Source organism: Homo sapiens, chromosome 6 (genome assembly GCF_000001405.40).
Source record: "Homo sapiens chromosome 6, GRCh38.p14 Primary Assembly".
Taxonomy (NCBI): Eukaryota; Metazoa; Chordata; class Mammalia; order Primates; family Hominidae; genus Homo; species Homo sapiens.
In genome coordinates, this window is record NC_000006.12 from 123957912 (window position 1) to 123975047 (window position 17136).

Below are 17136 nucleotides of genomic sequence, written 5' to 3' on the forward strand. Positions count from 1 at the left end.
CAATATTTAATGTGGGCATGCTGCTCTTATGGTTAGGTTGGATTGACTATGTTTTATGGAAAGAAAATATAAAGATAATATTACTAATTACATTATGATACTGGTAGTAATTTTAGGGGGAGAAGGCATATTTGCTGCTAGTGTGTCTTCTGTTAATCATATCTATTGTCCACCCAAGCTCTGGCCCTGAAAAGGCAGAAAGAAGAGCAGTTTTAGGGTCTCTGCCCTCCAATAGCTAGGACACCGACCAGTGTAGGAAGGTATCTTTAGGCCCTTTTGAGTTCTCCTGTACGTGTGACTTTGGAAACTGAAAGAGAATTTTTGAAGGAAAAAAAAAAATTGCAAATCATCAGAAATCATCAGGAAAAGAAACAGGTTTACCAAATCTGAAACCATATACTGTCCCATGCATTAGCCTTATCCCCATGAAGGCACCTGTGAGGCAGGATGCCCCAGGGACAGCAGTGTCTGCTCCGTCACCTCTGTGCACATGGAGCCATCTGTTACACCTGGCCACCAGTGCCTTCATGGAGTAGTTAATGTTTGAGTCTCCCTGAATTTTGGATTCATGTGTCCTCACATGGTGGACAGGCAAAGGGGCAAACAAATTCCCTCAAGCCTCTTTTAAAAGGACGCTAATCTCATTCTTGAGGGGTCTGGCCTCATGGCCTTGTCACCTCCCAAAGGCCCCACCTTTTAATACTTGCACATTGGTAATTAAATTTCAACATATGAATTTTGGAAGGACACAAACACTCAGACCGTAATAGCAAGCACTTACCACTGGCTATTACATATTTCCTCATCTATGTATTTGTCTTGATGTAAGATTCTTGAAAGGCGGGGCCTAGGCTGAATCGCTACGTCAACCTCAGAGCTTACAACAGTAATCAGTGCACCAATAAACATTTGTTTAACAGATGAGTGAAAGAATGAATGCTTATTCTTTATAGACCAGGAAGAAAAGAAAATGTTACTGTTACAAATGAGAAAACAAATTCCAAATGGCTAATAGTTTCCTTGGCAATTATAGGCCATTGGTAGCTTACATTATTGAGGACTTTTCTTTGAAACCAATCCCAGGGAAGCTTTCATCCCTAAGTGGGTGATTTATTCAAGTTATCAGTGTGAGTATTTGGCGGCTAAGGACCGGGAGAAGATGACAGAGGAAAGAGAGTTTGTGAGAGGGGTTTATATATGTGGTAGGTCTGTGGGTCTAGAAAATGAGTCAGGTTTTGCCAGGTGTCTACTTGGTAGAAGAATTAGAGGATAGCATTCTCCCTTTGGAACCATTTAATCCGTTGAAGTTGCAAGGTGCTGAGTCTGCTGTGGTCTAAAGAGTGAATCTGCTTCTATAAATGCCTCTTTAATATCATGGAGCCATGTGGAGCTCTTTGCCCTGTAGCACACAGTGGATCAGAAAGCACTGGGCCAGTGGTCCATGGCTTCCTGCATTGTGGCGGCCTACTCTGCCAGGAGTCCTTCAGGCAACTAGGCAAGAAAGAAGTGAGAAACATAGATTTAACACTGGCAACCACTGTACTCGCTTTACAATGCTTATTTTTGGAAAGTGGTTGTTGTAAAAACAATTCTTTATGTGTCCTTGAACATGATACTTCTTCAGTTTCCATTGTGATTGCCAAAGGGGTATATTCATACCCTTTTGAAATGAAGAAATGGATTCTCTATTGGGTTTGGCTTTTGTGTTTCTTAAACCTGTTAGCATCATGCATAGAGCAGAAATATATTAATTGAACTCTATGAAAATACTTCCTAACTCATAGTCTAACTCAGGTTTCAAATGACTACAGTGGCTAGGGAAGTTAGAATTTTTTTTCCCTAGAAGACATGTCTCATGATCTTTTCCTCTCTCTCTCTCATATATATATATGAGGGCTGTATATGGGGGTGGGGGGTACAATTGCATTTGTTACTTTTTTTCGGGGATTATCAGCCTAGGCAACAGTGCAAGTTCTTCCGGAGTCAGAGCAGAAGGAAATATGTCTTCCATATATGTGTGTGTGTGTGTGTGTGTGTGTGTGTGTGTGTGTGTGTGTGTGTAACACCATTCACACTTGAAAGTTGTGGGAATTTAGGAAATGAGAACTTTTGCCTATCTAAAGAGGTAAACACTGGAAGTTCCAGCTGATTTGTCATGTGGGTTTGCTGTGATGCAAGTTTGTATAATTGTTAAAATAAAGCTGAAAATATTATGTAAAAATTCTATATTGAATATTGGCATCTAGTTCTACTTTCTAAAAAAAATTGCCAGCCAACACTGTGCAGCATACTGTTCAAATTAAAGACACGTGTAAGCTGTGATTGGCTAATGGCCATCAGGTTGCGGTCTCTGGTTAAATGCTAACGGGCATCCATCTCCACATTTCCACCATTGCATTTGTGCCCAGTAAGCCCTTGCTGTTGTCATCACTTGCTTTGTGGAGGGACCTCTTCTCCTCTAGATTTTCTCTATGTTCTCTCCAGGATGTACTCAGTGTCTACACCACCAAGCAGGCTTTGAAGCTCTGAGTTTCTATCCAGAGAGCTTCTTTTTCCATGTGCTGTCAGCTGGATCTCTCAAGGACACATAGTGGCTCTGCCTCAGGTGTAGACCTCCTTGAGCCATTCTTGAAGGAAAGTCTTCACATGGTTTCAACTCTGCAGCCCTCCTAAGATGGCCTTTTCAATAGCTCTTCACCTCCCCACTCCCATCTCTTCATGTGCCATAGCCTTGCCCCTCTGCTTGAGCCACAGGCACTAACGTGTATTTATTAGGTGGAAGCAGGCCCCCAGCCTTGCAAGGCAAATGTTTGTATGTGGTAGAGGGTCTATATTAGGTGTAGACCCTCTTTCTGTATGAACATGTCTTAGACTCTCTTCCTATATGAATGAGAACGTAATGATGGACCTCTGATACACGGTGTAGAGTAAGGGAGTGGGGGCTACAATTGCACTTGTTACTTTTTTTCGGGGATTAGCATCCTAGGCAACAATGCAAGTTCTTCTGGAGTCAGAGCAGACGGAAATATGTCTTCCATTCTGATTCATGTTTCAAAAATGAAAAAAAATATATGAATAGACTCCCTTCTTTTCCAAAAGAATACTGCCCTGGTATTAAAGGCAACTACTGTGACAGATGCAAAGCAGGAGATGCCTATGTGTGTCTTTCCCCTTGTTCAATTCTATAGTCTGCAATTGTAACTGTTGCTCTCAGTGACTAGAATTGCAGGTTGGCAACCATAAATCTGGAAGTGACATTCTAGTAAAGAAGACAAAGCAGAAAAAAAAAAGTGCCATAAATGCATTGAGTTCTCTCCTGTGTCTCATTTTCTACAACAACAAAAAATAAGCCCTAAAACTGTACCTAAAGCCTTTCTTGCTGTATACTACGATTATTCCTGATTCATTAAATACTTTTGCAGCTGTAATCAAACTTGTTTAAAGCTCACGTGTTCATGGGCTAGAAAAACACTTTAGAAAAAATGTGAACAATCAAAGCACAATTGCCAGCATATTATTATTGGTATTTTTCAGCATAATGCAGTTTCCGTTCTAGTCCACTCCACTTTTTGAACATTTTATGTCTGTAGGCATATGCAAATACAAATCCCTAATAGAGTTCTTATTGTGTCAGTGCTTGAGTTATATTTACTTGCCAGAATATTCATAATACTAGGTGCCTGTGAAAACCATTGAATTTTTGTGGCTAAGGTTGTATTGGAGAGATAATGGCTTGAACCGAAAATGACCACTGCTACTTTGCATTTGTGAAATGACATAATCTATTTTCTCTTTTTGATAATAGTGTAGGGCACATTTTTAACACCTGGGAATGAAGCTTTTCCCCCTTTCTGTAACTTCTTACGTTGTTAATGTTAATTTGAGCACCATTACTCACAAACTTTTGGTGACTACAGATTTGAATATTAAGACTATATAATCAGAGATTAAATTATAACATAGTGGAAATATCAGAGATAAATTTATAGCATAGTGGGAACATGACAGTAGGTCTTTATTGAAATTACTGCTTTAGAGAGAGGAAACGGTAATTAAAAAGAGAAAGCTATTTTATTGCTTCATCAAATAGTTTAGATGTTCATCTTGTTATTTTGTCACTTTCTATACTGGATGTTAATTTTTTTAAGATGAAATTATTTTATATGCAATCGAACCATCTTAAAATTAATCTTAAGAAAACTGGAAAATAAACATTTATTTCTCCAAATGAAAACCTATAACAGTATTATACCAAACAAAAACTTTGCATGTATTTTCAAATCCTATTTACTCTGGAAGAATCCTAGGTTTTTCATTTGGGCATTTTGAAACATACGTTGGTCTAATGGCATATTTCATATGGAGTCCCACCAGTCATCAGCAATCTAGAATCAGTGTCTGAAGAAGATTCTCAAATGGAGGCATTAGTGAAGTTTGGAAGGGCACATTGGACTATCATCATTTCAAAGATGGACACGATTCTATTTCCTTATCTGCTTGCAGAGCTATTTAAGAATCAATGTCTTATTTTTCCTGAGTCCTTTATAACCCTATTCATATTTTCAATTGCTGATGCCTCTTTGAGCTACGAGTTCTACTTTGTGCATAACGTTGAGGAATTTCTACGTTTACTGTTTCTCCTTACTTCACTCATCTCCTTCATTAATGGCTGGCAAGTCACCGAATTTCACTTTTCTTTACACAGGTGTAAGGAAAATTGCACTTTAGTCATGAGTAGGCTGAGGCAGCCTTCCAGTGCAGCATGACTCAGCGGATTTGCAGCACAGGTGCACAACCCCACACATTATGTAACCACGCCACGTGAGGCACATTAGGTGATCATCCACGTGAGCTTGTGCTTGGCTCAGAGCCATTATTGCCTGTTAAAAGTTATGATTACCCTGCTAACGCTGTACGTACAGCTTGCGCCTAGGCTTACTCCTGCCCAGAGCGAGAGTAAAGCCATGTCAAAACTGTCTGCAGTTCCTCAAGTGTTTTTCCAGCCACCTGCCACTCACCCACCAACTCCCCTTGGACCTCAGTAAGAACCTGACAATAGGTCAGCTCACTGTTATTTTATTATTGGTGGTTAAAGCTTGTGGTGGTGGGTGGTCCTGACTTCATTCAGGAAGACATTGTACAAGAGTTGTAGAAGAGGAGAAAAACTAATAATTTGGCTAATGTTGTGGAAACCTCGAAACTCATACAGTCACCTTATGTAACACTAACCTCATCAGGGCCTAGGATTTGCATAGCAGACTGAGCAGATTGCTAGACCCATTCTTTAGGCTGCCTTTTTATGATTCAGCATTGTTTTCTAGGCAATTTTTAATGTTTTTGGAGTGATGAAATAAAAGAGGGAAAGGTGAACTAGAGAACAAAAGATAAAACTCTTCCCTTCATTGCCTCACGAGAAAAATTAAAGTGTCTTTTTTAAATGAGTGATGATTCCACCTCTGGACACAGCTCAAACGCCATTGGAATGCTTCCCCTATTACAGGGAAGTGTTGAGAGAAAAAGCAATTGTCCAGAGAGTTGATGTAGTGTAGTAGTGTGGATCCTGTTTTTGAATTCTGGCTATAACTGTGTGACCTTAGGCAAGTTGCCTAACATCTCTCAATTATAAAATGAACATAAAAATTGCACCAATATTATGGTATTGTTATGAAGATTAAATACATTAATACTTACACAATAGTTAGAAGAGAAATTGCAACATAGTAAACATTAGGTATATCAAACATACATGTGAACAGAAAGCGTAAAAGAAAGCAGATATTCAAGGAGACTTCCAGCATGCCAATTTTCGAGTTCAAATACTATCTTTCCAAAACAATCCGTCTGAAGTCCGAGAACACACTCAATATTGTTGATTAAATGTTTAAATAATATTTATTATAGCTAGCATGTTCATTTTTAGACAGGTTAAATTTATGAGGCAGCAAAGTTATAATATTATGTGTGGTCGCTACAATTTATGGTGCATTTTGGTCCCTGTATAATCAACATGCACTGTTCATGTATGCCCATTTTATAGGACTAGGAGTATAATGATGATATTTTAAATTATTATAGAGGCCAAACATTGTTCTATCTTTGCCTTTATAGCATATTGTTGATCATATCTCAAATTCATTTGAAAAATGAATCCTTGTTCAGGAACACAACATCCAATTACAAAATTACTCCTAGGGGAAAATACAAGCTGTTTTATGGTGTGATTTCCAGGAATGCATTGTGGTGTGAAGTAGAAATTACCTACATCAATTTTGTTTTCTTTATTTATTTCAAGACTATCTCTCCCTACAAGTTTTACCTGCTTTGTTCCAGTAGTTTATAATTTGGTAAATAAGTCAGCATTTCATTTTTCTTATACAGCTCCCTGTTCATCCCCTGATTTCTGTGTTGCCTTTGCCTGAACCTCCTCTAGTTTCATTAAATTTAATTAGTATCAATTGCCAGTGTCAGCACGTTGAATTGCTTTATAAGGCTGTATAAATGGCCTCTGATGGCTTCAGTGTAAATCCTAGTCATCTGGATCAGGTATATAAAAACTTCCCTTAAAAGTGGTCTCTGCTATGCAAACTAAGTTCCTTCTCATCTCTATATCATCTCATTTCTATATCATATTATTTCCTCATTTTCCTACAGAAAGGACTTGGGGATATAGAAAGGGCGTATGTAAGAGTTCTAAAAATTATTAAAGGTTTGAGAAATAATTTTTAAGAGAAAATGTCAAACGGTTTTGGAGTGTTGCCCAGCCACTTTCCTGTACTCACATTCACCCAGCATCTATCTAGTCTTCCTAACCCCATCTGGAAGCTCAGCTCCACTCCTGTTCCTGGAGGAAGGCCAGCCTATGTTCAAAACTAAATTAGCCTTGCATCCATTTCTTACCTCATGATTCGAGCTAAGCATGTTTCCTGGTTCCATCATCTGGGCTCTCATTTTATTCCTTTTGCTCATGTTCTCACCTTGTACCTATCACCAGTTCCCTTTTTGCCCTCTTTAAGTCCTATTTTGCCCTATTTAAGCCCTTGCTTAAATTGATTGCCCAGGTAAACATTTTTCCTGGATTTTATTATTTATTTTATGAGATCCCTGTTTTCTGCCATCGATCTTCCTTTTACCCAGAATGTCTGTGTCTTTAGCTTCCATTTCATTCAGTGTTCAGAATGTCTTCATAGCATGAGTGCCCTTTTTTTGAGACATCCATCCACCCCCTGGCACTGAAACTTTCTGATGGGAGATCCTACCCATGCCCATCCTTGTTAGCTCTGTAGTTACGGAACCTAGAAGAGTCCACAGATAACCAGAGGTGCCAGAAATCAACGCTGGACTCTGGTAACTCAAATTTACTTATTAAAAAATAGAGACAATTTGTTTGCCAGTAATATATGCCTTTTAATTTTTGGTGAAATGCAAGATTAGAAATGTTCTTAGAGCATTTAGAGATCAAGTTTGATTAAGGGATTAGAATGGGAAATTTAGGCTTAGGAGTCATCACACTTATCCTATCATGTTAATCCCCCTCTCTCCATGGTCAAAAACTGCTGTTGCCTCCCATTGTTGTCAACATTACACTCACAGTCCTTATTAGAGTGGTTAAGACCCTGTGATCTGTATTCATTCCTTTAAACCCACATATGCTTGATTCTCCTACTCATATCCTGCGATCTAACCAAACTAGACTACTGCTTTATTTCCAAAACCCCACACAATAGCCATCTTGGACCTTTTGTTTATTCTGTTGCCTGTAGGTGGAATTATCCCCTTATCCCTATCAGAATACTATCTAGCTTTCAAGGCAGATTTCAAATGCCACTTTATCCACGATTAATTTCCTCTTTTCTCCAATCAGATGGGATCCCTTCCTCCTTTGAATTCACAACTTAATTTGTTTTGGCATCTCTTATTGAATCTATTCTTAAATTCTGTCTTGTATTACTGGTATACAATAAAACCCAGTCTAATTAATTAGAGGGACTCAAAACATTTTTAAATGCTTAAAATGTTAGCACACATTATTGGGAGGCTGATAAAATAAGCGTAGGCAAGTCTGTGTAGCTAGCTGGCCTGTCGTTCCCAAGGAAAGGCTGGCTGCTAAGATCAACCCTTCTAAATCTTGGCTATAGTTTGGTGACACCCACTGGACAGGGTCCATAAAAACTTACATTTCAGTGGGCATGATTCCGCCTGCTGTTTTTGGCTGGAACTGCCAGGACGATGGTAGCAATTTCAGGAATCTTCTCTTTGGTGATTCCTCTTTTGTCAGCTGGATCCAGGGAATACTGGCTGAGAGAAGTTTAGGAATGCAGGGATACTCTTCTGCTTTTCCATTTTCTAAAACTCAGTTGCTTGCCATCTTCTGTCAACCTTGCCTTCCCTCCTGCATTTACTCAATCATCCTCAGAAGATACGAGCTTTAATTCTAATCATGTCCTTCCCCCAGTATTTTGAGGAAGGAGTCTAGGCAGCACATAAGAGCCAATTGCCAATTATTTCATGCCCTAATTTGCTTTACTGCCAAGGCACCTTTTTATAGGATTTTTGCTATATATATGTATTAAAGGCTTTAGCAGGGCAGGGGACTATCTTTGTAATCCATCACAATGCGTAGATACACTTTGTGCTCAGTAGTTTTAGAAATTAGATTGAAGCTGAGACTAAACTTTCCAAGGAAAAGAGCTTACAAATGGATTTTGTTAAGAAGTGGTAGGAAAAAACAGTGATGTCAAAGAAGCAAGATGCCACAGTTCATTTGCTGGTGTAGCAAAAACACCAGACAAAGTTGAGCAAGTCATATAACTCTGAGCTCAAGATTATCATCTTTAAAATGCTGATATTATGTCTACTGTATACTACTACTGCTGCAGGCTATTTTTCACTCAACAAATACTGTTCACGTGTCAGATGCCAAGTGCTGGGTGTTAGGAATACATCACTGAAAATCACAGACATGGTTCCAGCTCTCATGACATTTCCAATCTAAAGTAGTGTTGCTATTTTATGCTTTAACTATGAAACTATTAAGGACATAGTTAACATAAACATTATAAAAATCTCCCGAGTCCTAAAGATTAAAACAACCTCCTGGGGTTTCAGAAATGATTAATTTAGAGATATCTATACTTACAGTCCCCTTCATTAGATCCCAAAGATAACTAGACACAGGACTGCTCTTTAAGTGTAACCGGAATAGGCAACACTTTTGCTATGTTTCTAGAAGCACTGGGCACTTTCCTTGTAATTTCCTCAAATACCTGCCTTATCTTCTTGGTCTGTTAGCTCAGGCTTTATCAGAAATACATTTGTGGGAGTGGGTGTGCACATGTGTATGTTTTAAGCCATTGAGACTCCGAGAGTTTTCTTTGAAATTGCAAATACTCTTCAGGGGATAAAACACATTCAGTTATCATCAGTTGTCAGTATAATTGGTTTTTCTGATTCTTTTCTTCATGGCATCTAGCCGAGTTCACTGGGAAGCCAGCTAATAATGTGCTGAGTACTGGGCCAAGCACCATTTCTGTAGTTAGACTTACAACTTGCCCCCCTTTTGACTCTGCTACTCTCTATTGTTTGTTATCTTATCCTACCAATAATTGCAGCTTTTCATGTCCTCATCATATTTCCCATACACTGGGCCAGAACTGGTGCTAGAAGAATCTTCCCTGTGGTTTTCCACCCCCAACTGAAGGTTGGTGTAGAGCACAGAAGTCCAACAAAGCCAATGTAACATCACCCAATGTGAACTGACACATTATGTGAAAAAAAAGGGGGGGAGTGTGTGTATATATACACATACTCACAACTACATAGATATAGTATACATTTGAAGAAAGTATTGGTTCTTACACTTTCTCCTTTTAAGTATAGAGTGAGGGTTCTTTTCTCCTTCTTTGTTCCTCCACTTCGATTATGTACAAACTCCCTTAAGGTATTAAAGGTGCCCTGAGGAGCCAGTGTGCTCGCTCTCTGTGGTATCTCAACACTTAACTAATCGTGCCTATAAAGTGACGCTCTAAGGGCTCACTTAAGAAGAGGAGAAGAGGGTTCAGGTGCCTCTCAGGATGTAAAATGATGAGTTCTGGATGCATATTTCTAACAGATGGACACGGCATTAAGAAAGCAGCCACAGAAGGCAGCAGGTGGAGCAGGCAGCTGGAAAGCGCAGCCACTTGCAGGAGCACTTGACATTAATTACACCTGTTGGAATTCTCGCCCAACTTTTTGCTTTCAAATGTGTTCTCAGTATAATCACTGTGAGGCAGGGGGAAAAGAAAAGCAGCTGAGGGCTGGAAACAGGAAATGGAGCACTTGCACTGAGAGCAAAGAGAAAGAGGTGGGCCAGGGGGACGGCTTTTCTGGCTCATGCCCTTCAATTAATCACATGTCCAAAATAGGAGCCACGGGTGCTATTACTTATAGTGGTCCAGATGATTCCATCTTGGGGCTGAAGAGGACAATTTAAAAACAATTAAACAAATGTTCAAAGCAGTAAAAGCAGGAGTATGCATTCAGTCCTTTAGAAATTAAACATGTTGCTCTGTATCTGAAGAGATTAAATATATACATTTAATGTTTTGTATCATCTGAGCTCATTTCAAAACTTTCTTGGGCCATGTAGTGATTTTCCAAATCTCTGAGATTCTTCATTTATTTCTGCCTGTACAATGGGATCCTAGCTTTCTCTAAGCTGTGTCCTAGTTATCAGCACAACTTGCATCTTCTGCTACTCTATGGCTCACAGTGTGGCTCCTTTCATGATAAACTTATATCATTGCCTGAAGCTGTGTGGATGTTCTAGTCTGCTTCCGCTATTCTTTCTCTCTGGAATGCCCCTGTTAGCCTTACAAATTTCTGCTCACCATTAATTGTGAACTCAAGGGTTAAATGTGTAATAAAGCCTTCAGTGATTGTCCCAGGCAGACCTGAGCCTTCACCCTCCTCAGAGTCACAGGACCTTTCCCATTCATTTTCAAAGTGTGGAGCACCTTGCTGTGCTGGGCTGGCCTGGACCCCCTCCTCTGGGCCATGAGCTCTGTGAGGAGAGCTCCATTTCTACTCTTCTGTAGTTTCCTCCTTCCCCCCAGCTCATAGTCCCCCACTTTATAGTTCTGACTAAATGTGATTTGAATATAAGTTGCCTTTACCTGGAGGTATAGGTCCCACCACTGAAAAATAATTTTAACCCAATCTCAGTATCTCCTGAGAAAAAATAAGATGCGGCTTTCAAAACTATCAATTGTCTTCAGGTTTTTGCTCACTTTCCAGTGAGACTTACCCTGACTACCACTGTATTACAAAATGGCAAGCGCCTTAGGTATTAATGTGTGATGGGATTTTTGCTCATTATGGTATGAAATGATGTGAGGTAAAACATATATTTTTATAAGGAATAAGGATGGAGTTAAAAAGGTCTGTTGAAGTGAAGTAAAGAGGAAATGGAAATAAACATGATTGTGAAGAGATGGCTGCGGTTTAACAATGCATCCAGCTGAAGAATAAATCTACCTCTGCTAATAATAGAGGTTGATTTTTCTCACCAAGATGACTGGCACACATTTATGTAGACCTAAATGAAGGGACCGTTGCACTAGCTCAGTAATGCCGGAGCCAGAATCTGTGTAGTAAGACTTTTTTGTTTTTCTCTCATGGTTTCAAGATGCCTGCCAGAGCTTCAAATAGCATGCCTATTTTCAAAAGGAATGGAGAAGAGAGTTGCACAGAGACCTTTAACACATTTATCAGGAAAGCAAAAGCTTCAACAGAATCCACTCTGGATACAGTTGCCAGTGTCTAGATGGGCAATGCCTTGATGTCACTTAGCTTCCCCTAGGACAGAGTAAAGAAAGGAAGGATTTTACTTTCCCAGCCTCTGTCCTGGAGCTGGGAGAGAGGAAAAGGGATTTGGAATGATCTCTGGGTTACCCAACCAGCAGTGTCTGCCGCAAAAATAACTAGTAGATAAAATGAATTGGCCAAAATAAGTAAATTGAAAGAAGACATTCACTTATAGTGGATATATAAGTAAAATGAATAATTCAATCAAAGGATAAAATAATATGTCTTAGGACAAATGCATAAACTAGATGTATGTATCAAATACATAATTTTAAAAACAAGATATGAGAGCAGAATTGTACAATATTATACTACTCATGTCATTAAAACACACAAAATACTGATTATTAAATGGATATATATATATATATGTATAAATGTTTAAAAACATAAACTGGAAGATACACATCAAATTCAGCCTAGTAGTTGCCTTCTTTGTGGAAGAAGAGGGTAATAGGGAAGAGGAACAAAAGGAACTTCATTTTATTTTGCAAAGTTTCACTCCTGTCACAAAATCAAATGGTAAGGCTGGTATGTATATGAGAGTTTGGTGAGAAAAACAACTAGAAGAAATAGTAAGAGTTTAAATTTAGTTCTATCACTGAAAATAAATTTAAAGGAGCATAAAATGAAAACACAGATGGGATTCTAATTGCCACGAAAGCCTAAGAAATAGAGACATAATTTACCACGGGAAATAGTACTGAATGAGGAAGAAGCCCCAGAATCAGCCTTTGACTTTGGTTCTGAACTTACTCACTTTGAACTTTAGCTTTCTGACTTGAAAGATGAGGATTTTTGTTTTTATTTTTTCATTGTTCTTTAGAAATATTTATCGTTTGGCTGGGTGTGGTGGCTCATGTCTGTAATCCTAGCACTTTGGGAGGCCAAGGAGGGCAGATTGCCTGAGCTCAGGAGTTTGAGACCAGCCTGGGTAACACGGTGAAACCCCATTTCTACTAAAAAAATACAAAAAATTAGCCAGGCATGGTGGTGCGTGCCTGTAATCGCAGCTACTTAGGAGGCTGAGGCAGGAGAATTGCTTGAACCCAGGAGGCGGAGGTTGCTGTGAGCTGAGATCGCGCCACTGCACTCCAGCCTGGTCGACGAAGTGAATCTCTGTCTCAAGAAAAAAAAGAAAAAAAGAAATATTTATTTTTTAAGAATATTAACTATTTTGTAATAAGGCATGCTTTAAAACAATCTTTGCAATTTAAGTCATAAACTGTGGTGGTCCTGTAAAACATCAAAATTGTTCATTTATTTGATTTATATTTATTGAAAGCTTACTATATGCTGGAAGCCTAGGAAATAGGGCATAAATCAATCAAAAGTTCTAGTGCTAATGAAAATGATAGTCTGACTGGGGCCAGAGATAGTAAGTACATACTTAGTATATAAGGAAGCCCATGAAGCAAAATGTAGCAGGATCAGAGAGTACTCAGGGCCAGGTGACAGTGGAACTAATGCTCTAGTAGCTAGATTAGGTTTCTCTTACAAGGCACTATTTAGCCTAGAAAGAATGTAAAAGTCAAATATCTTTCACAAGTAACATTTGCTATGAGTAATTTAAATTATATATTATATAAAATATATTAATATAGTAATTATAACTGCCTTGTATTTTAATACGGATTTGTATGTGCTTCAAGGGGTTTTGTTCTTTCTTTTTGCACACATACTGCTTTTTATCATAGCACTCCCATCCAGACAAGAAGTATACATTCTCTGCTTTGTAGTCAATCTCTTTGTGTCAGTTTGGATGGAAACCTGACTTTGTGTCAGTTTGGATGGTTTGATTCCTACACATCTAATATCTTGAGCGGATATTCCTGGATGAATAATGGTAAAGTTATCTCCCTTAGGAAAGCTTGTTGTCCCCATCATGTCTGTGTTACACAGCCATTGGATATACAACATTGGCTGGAGTGGGGAAGGTTTGGGGGATTTTCTTATCAGCTGTCTTCTGCTCTTAGTTAGTGAAATCTAACAAGCACCCAGACCGATAACATGTGAGTTTCCATTTGAAAGTTTGGCTCTTGTTTATAAATATTAATACGGTTGAAAGTTAATATATTTTGAAAAATGCTTTAAGATGTTTTAAAAAAGGCTTTTAAAGTTTCATATTCTGCAAGAGTCTGGACAAGTAAAATACAATTGGCCTTTGAACAACATGGGTTTGAACCACACAAGCTTACTTATGCTCAGATTTCTTCTGCCTCTGCCACCCCTGAAACAGTAAGACCAAGCTTTCCCCTTCCCCAACCATTCAACATGAAGATGACAAGGATGAAGAGAGGATTCCATTTCCACTTAATGAATAGTAAATATATTTTCTCTTTCTTATGCTTCTCTTAACATTGTTTTCTCTAGCTTACTTTATGGTGAGAATACAGTACATAATACATAGAATACACAAAATATGTGTTCATCAATGGTTTATGTTATCAGTATGACTTCCTGTCAACAGTAGGTTATTAGTAGTTAAGTTTTTGGAAAGCCAAAAGTTACTGTGTGAGGGGTTGGCACCCATAACCTCCATATTGTTCAAGGGTCAACCATACATTATTTAGATTTGATCAAACTGGATTTTTAGTATGTTTTTGATTTTAGGTCATCACAGAACTCAAGGGATTTCTGAGACAAATAGCCTAATGGAAGATTAAACGCAAACTGAAAAAGATCTTAATTTACTGAGAAAACTGGAGATAGGAACTAAGGTTTAAAATCTGAGTAGCTGAGAAGCTGCCACTTATTCCAGTGTCTGAAACATGGATATATTGAAAGATTGAAAGAAAATCTTATAATTGAACAGTGAGCGTCTTTGGATATTGTGTAAAAAGCTCTATAAAAGATAAGAGCCTGATGTTAGCTTGGAGAAAGTCCCCCTTGCCTTATTAATGTTGGTAAAACTTTGTTACTACTCAAAAAATAGCCATCAACTTTAAAACCAACAAACATTTTCATAAGCCACTAATATTGACCATGCCATTTAGTTCTACCTTATTTATTCTTTGACTTCCAGGAATAGATTCCCTTTCCTCCTCTGGAGATCATGGGATTGGAAATTTTGGCCAATGGTAGATAAATACAAAGTTGTTGTGAGGTCTGCATGTGTGCTGGAATATACATACTGTGGTTAGAAAAGTGCCTGATACATAGTAAAAACACCATATCCATAAAATTAATATAATCAAATAAACCAGAAAGTTAATACTATCAAAATTAAAGAGTAGTATATTTTGTAACTTTTATATTTGCTGCCAGATTTTCTTTGTTCCAGTTGCCAAAACAAATATTGGCTGATGAAAAACCTAACTTAAACATTGACCCAGGAAAATTTGGGTTTCATCTCTAAGCAATCTTCTCTGTGCTGTAGTGCCAGGCAGAGGGCTGTTCTCTCCCTAATATATCATTCCTGCTGGAAACCAGGAAAGTCTAATGTCACCATTAGAATTTATTTTTTTCTGTCTTGGCTTGCAGATTAAACTATACATGTCTCTGAAAGCTAACAGCTTATTATTAACAGTTAGAGCAGAGGTTAAAGAAAACATTCCTAAAAGAATGAGAACTAGGGTAGGATTTGGAGCTATGAAGTGAATTTAGTGAGGGAAAGAAATGGGGAAAGATAACAGGAGAGGAAAGTGAAGCTCAAAGGCGAGGTGGAAAGGCATAGAACCTTTTATAGCTTACATCTTACTTGTGTCTGGAGCAGGCCCTGGCCTGTCTATATAGAGGAGAAAAAAGGTTACCTGTTAACCAATGGATGATTTCAGTTGAAGATTCCTAGACTTCACATTCAAGGGTAAAAAGCAGAATGTATCACCATACCAGGACTCGTAGTTTCCTGCTATTCAAAACTCCAAATTCATAGTCCTCATTCCTGGAATACTATTTAGGTTGGTGCAAAAGTAACTGTAGTTTTGACATTGAAAGTAATGGCAAAAACTGCAATTACTTTTGCACCAACCTAAATCGTGTAGTTGTTTCACCATGTATATGAATCCAGTTATTCTGTTAGATTTGGGGCCAAAAAAGATTTGAAGAATTGCTAAAGGATAGAACTTTTCTGATATAGCTCAATGTTGTGATAAATACATGCTCTGAAAAATGAAGGAAAGCTATTTAGAATAGAGAATTTGTTCCAACGTAAAACAAATTTAATGGAAGGAGAATTATCCTAATAATCGATTATGAAAGAAAAATACTCCTCTGGAATTTTGTATATAATGGCTCAAAGACACGAAACTTTTATATTTTAAGAAGAAAGAAAAGTGAAAATAAAAGTGCTTTCATATAAATGATGAAAATGAATCTGTAATACCTGTTCATTCATCTACAGAGAATGTTATTAGATCAGAATGAGAACATCCTAATAAAGAAAGGAAATTGAATAGGTAGGTTATGAAGCATTACAGGATGCACAAGAAACAGTTTGTACCCTCGATAGCCACCTGAGGTGTGTGCCATTATACTTTCCAAAATTAGTGAAATTCTAATTCTTTTAGAAAGGATATTTTCCATTAAAGATTAGAAAAATCAAGAAATAAGTTCTTTTTGATGAAACTTTGAAGTTAGGATAGCAGCAGGCTTTATTTCAGTTCCTGCCGTGTTTCTTTTTCCTTTAGAATTAAACTATGTATGTTCCAGGAGAAATGATTGTATCAGTTAAAATAAAAATTACCACGGTTCTTCTAAGCATCCTCTTTTAGTGTATTTGATAGAGACCATGAAGTTTTCAAGGGAGACTGTAGTCTCTGCACATAGGAGTATCAGATTCTGTGAATAACAAGAGACAAAAACCCAATGTCAAAATGTGAGCCTGCTGTATTGGCACATTGGTTTGAGTGTTCTGCTTGTGCGGGCAAAAGGTTGACCATTGAATTGAAGAATGTGCTTTTCAGAGTAATAAGTTCTTACCATAGAAAGGTCAGCTAACACAGAGGGAAGATTATGCAACTGAGATCGAGCGTGTCAACGGGGACCCTCAAAAGGGAATTGATATTATGGCAGACATTATCTTCTGTTTTCTAAGTTCTAACGGAACATTTTAATGGAACTCAGAGAAGACTAAATTTGTTGTCTGCACAACTCTTATTAACATTTTGTCTTGCTCCACAGAGAGTGCGTCCTGCAGTAGGTGAGACATGATAAAGTATTTCCAACGCTTACAATAATGAAATGTTAGCATGCTTGACCTCTGCAGCTATCCATCATTAAAGAATTAATTTTCTGGACCTGAATCCATTTATTTCCTCATTTTAGCGTATGTTTGGTTATTAAGGGGAAGGG

General features: G+C 38.1%; 1 protein-coding gene across 9 annotated transcripts in view, besides 1 other annotated feature; it reads left to right on the top strand.

Annotated features, from left to right (window-relative positions):
- NKAIN2 (sodium/potassium transporting ATPase interacting 2) overlaps positions 1 to 17136 on the top strand; it is a 1021776-nt gene that overhangs the window by 154047 nt on the left and 850593 nt on the right. The gene's annotated exons all lie outside the window — the stretch shown is intronic.
- Positions 8026 to 8559: an enhancer, noted in NCBI's record as "OCT4-NANOG hESC enhancer chr6:124287082-124287615 (GRCh37/hg19 assembly coordinates)". NCBI's record gives its function as "activates a minimal SCP1, AML or CMV promoter by ChIP-STARR-seq in primed H9 embryonic stem cells {active_cell/tissue: H9 hESC(primed)}" and the evidence as "EXISTENCE:reporter gene assay evidence [ECO:0000049][PMID:30033119]".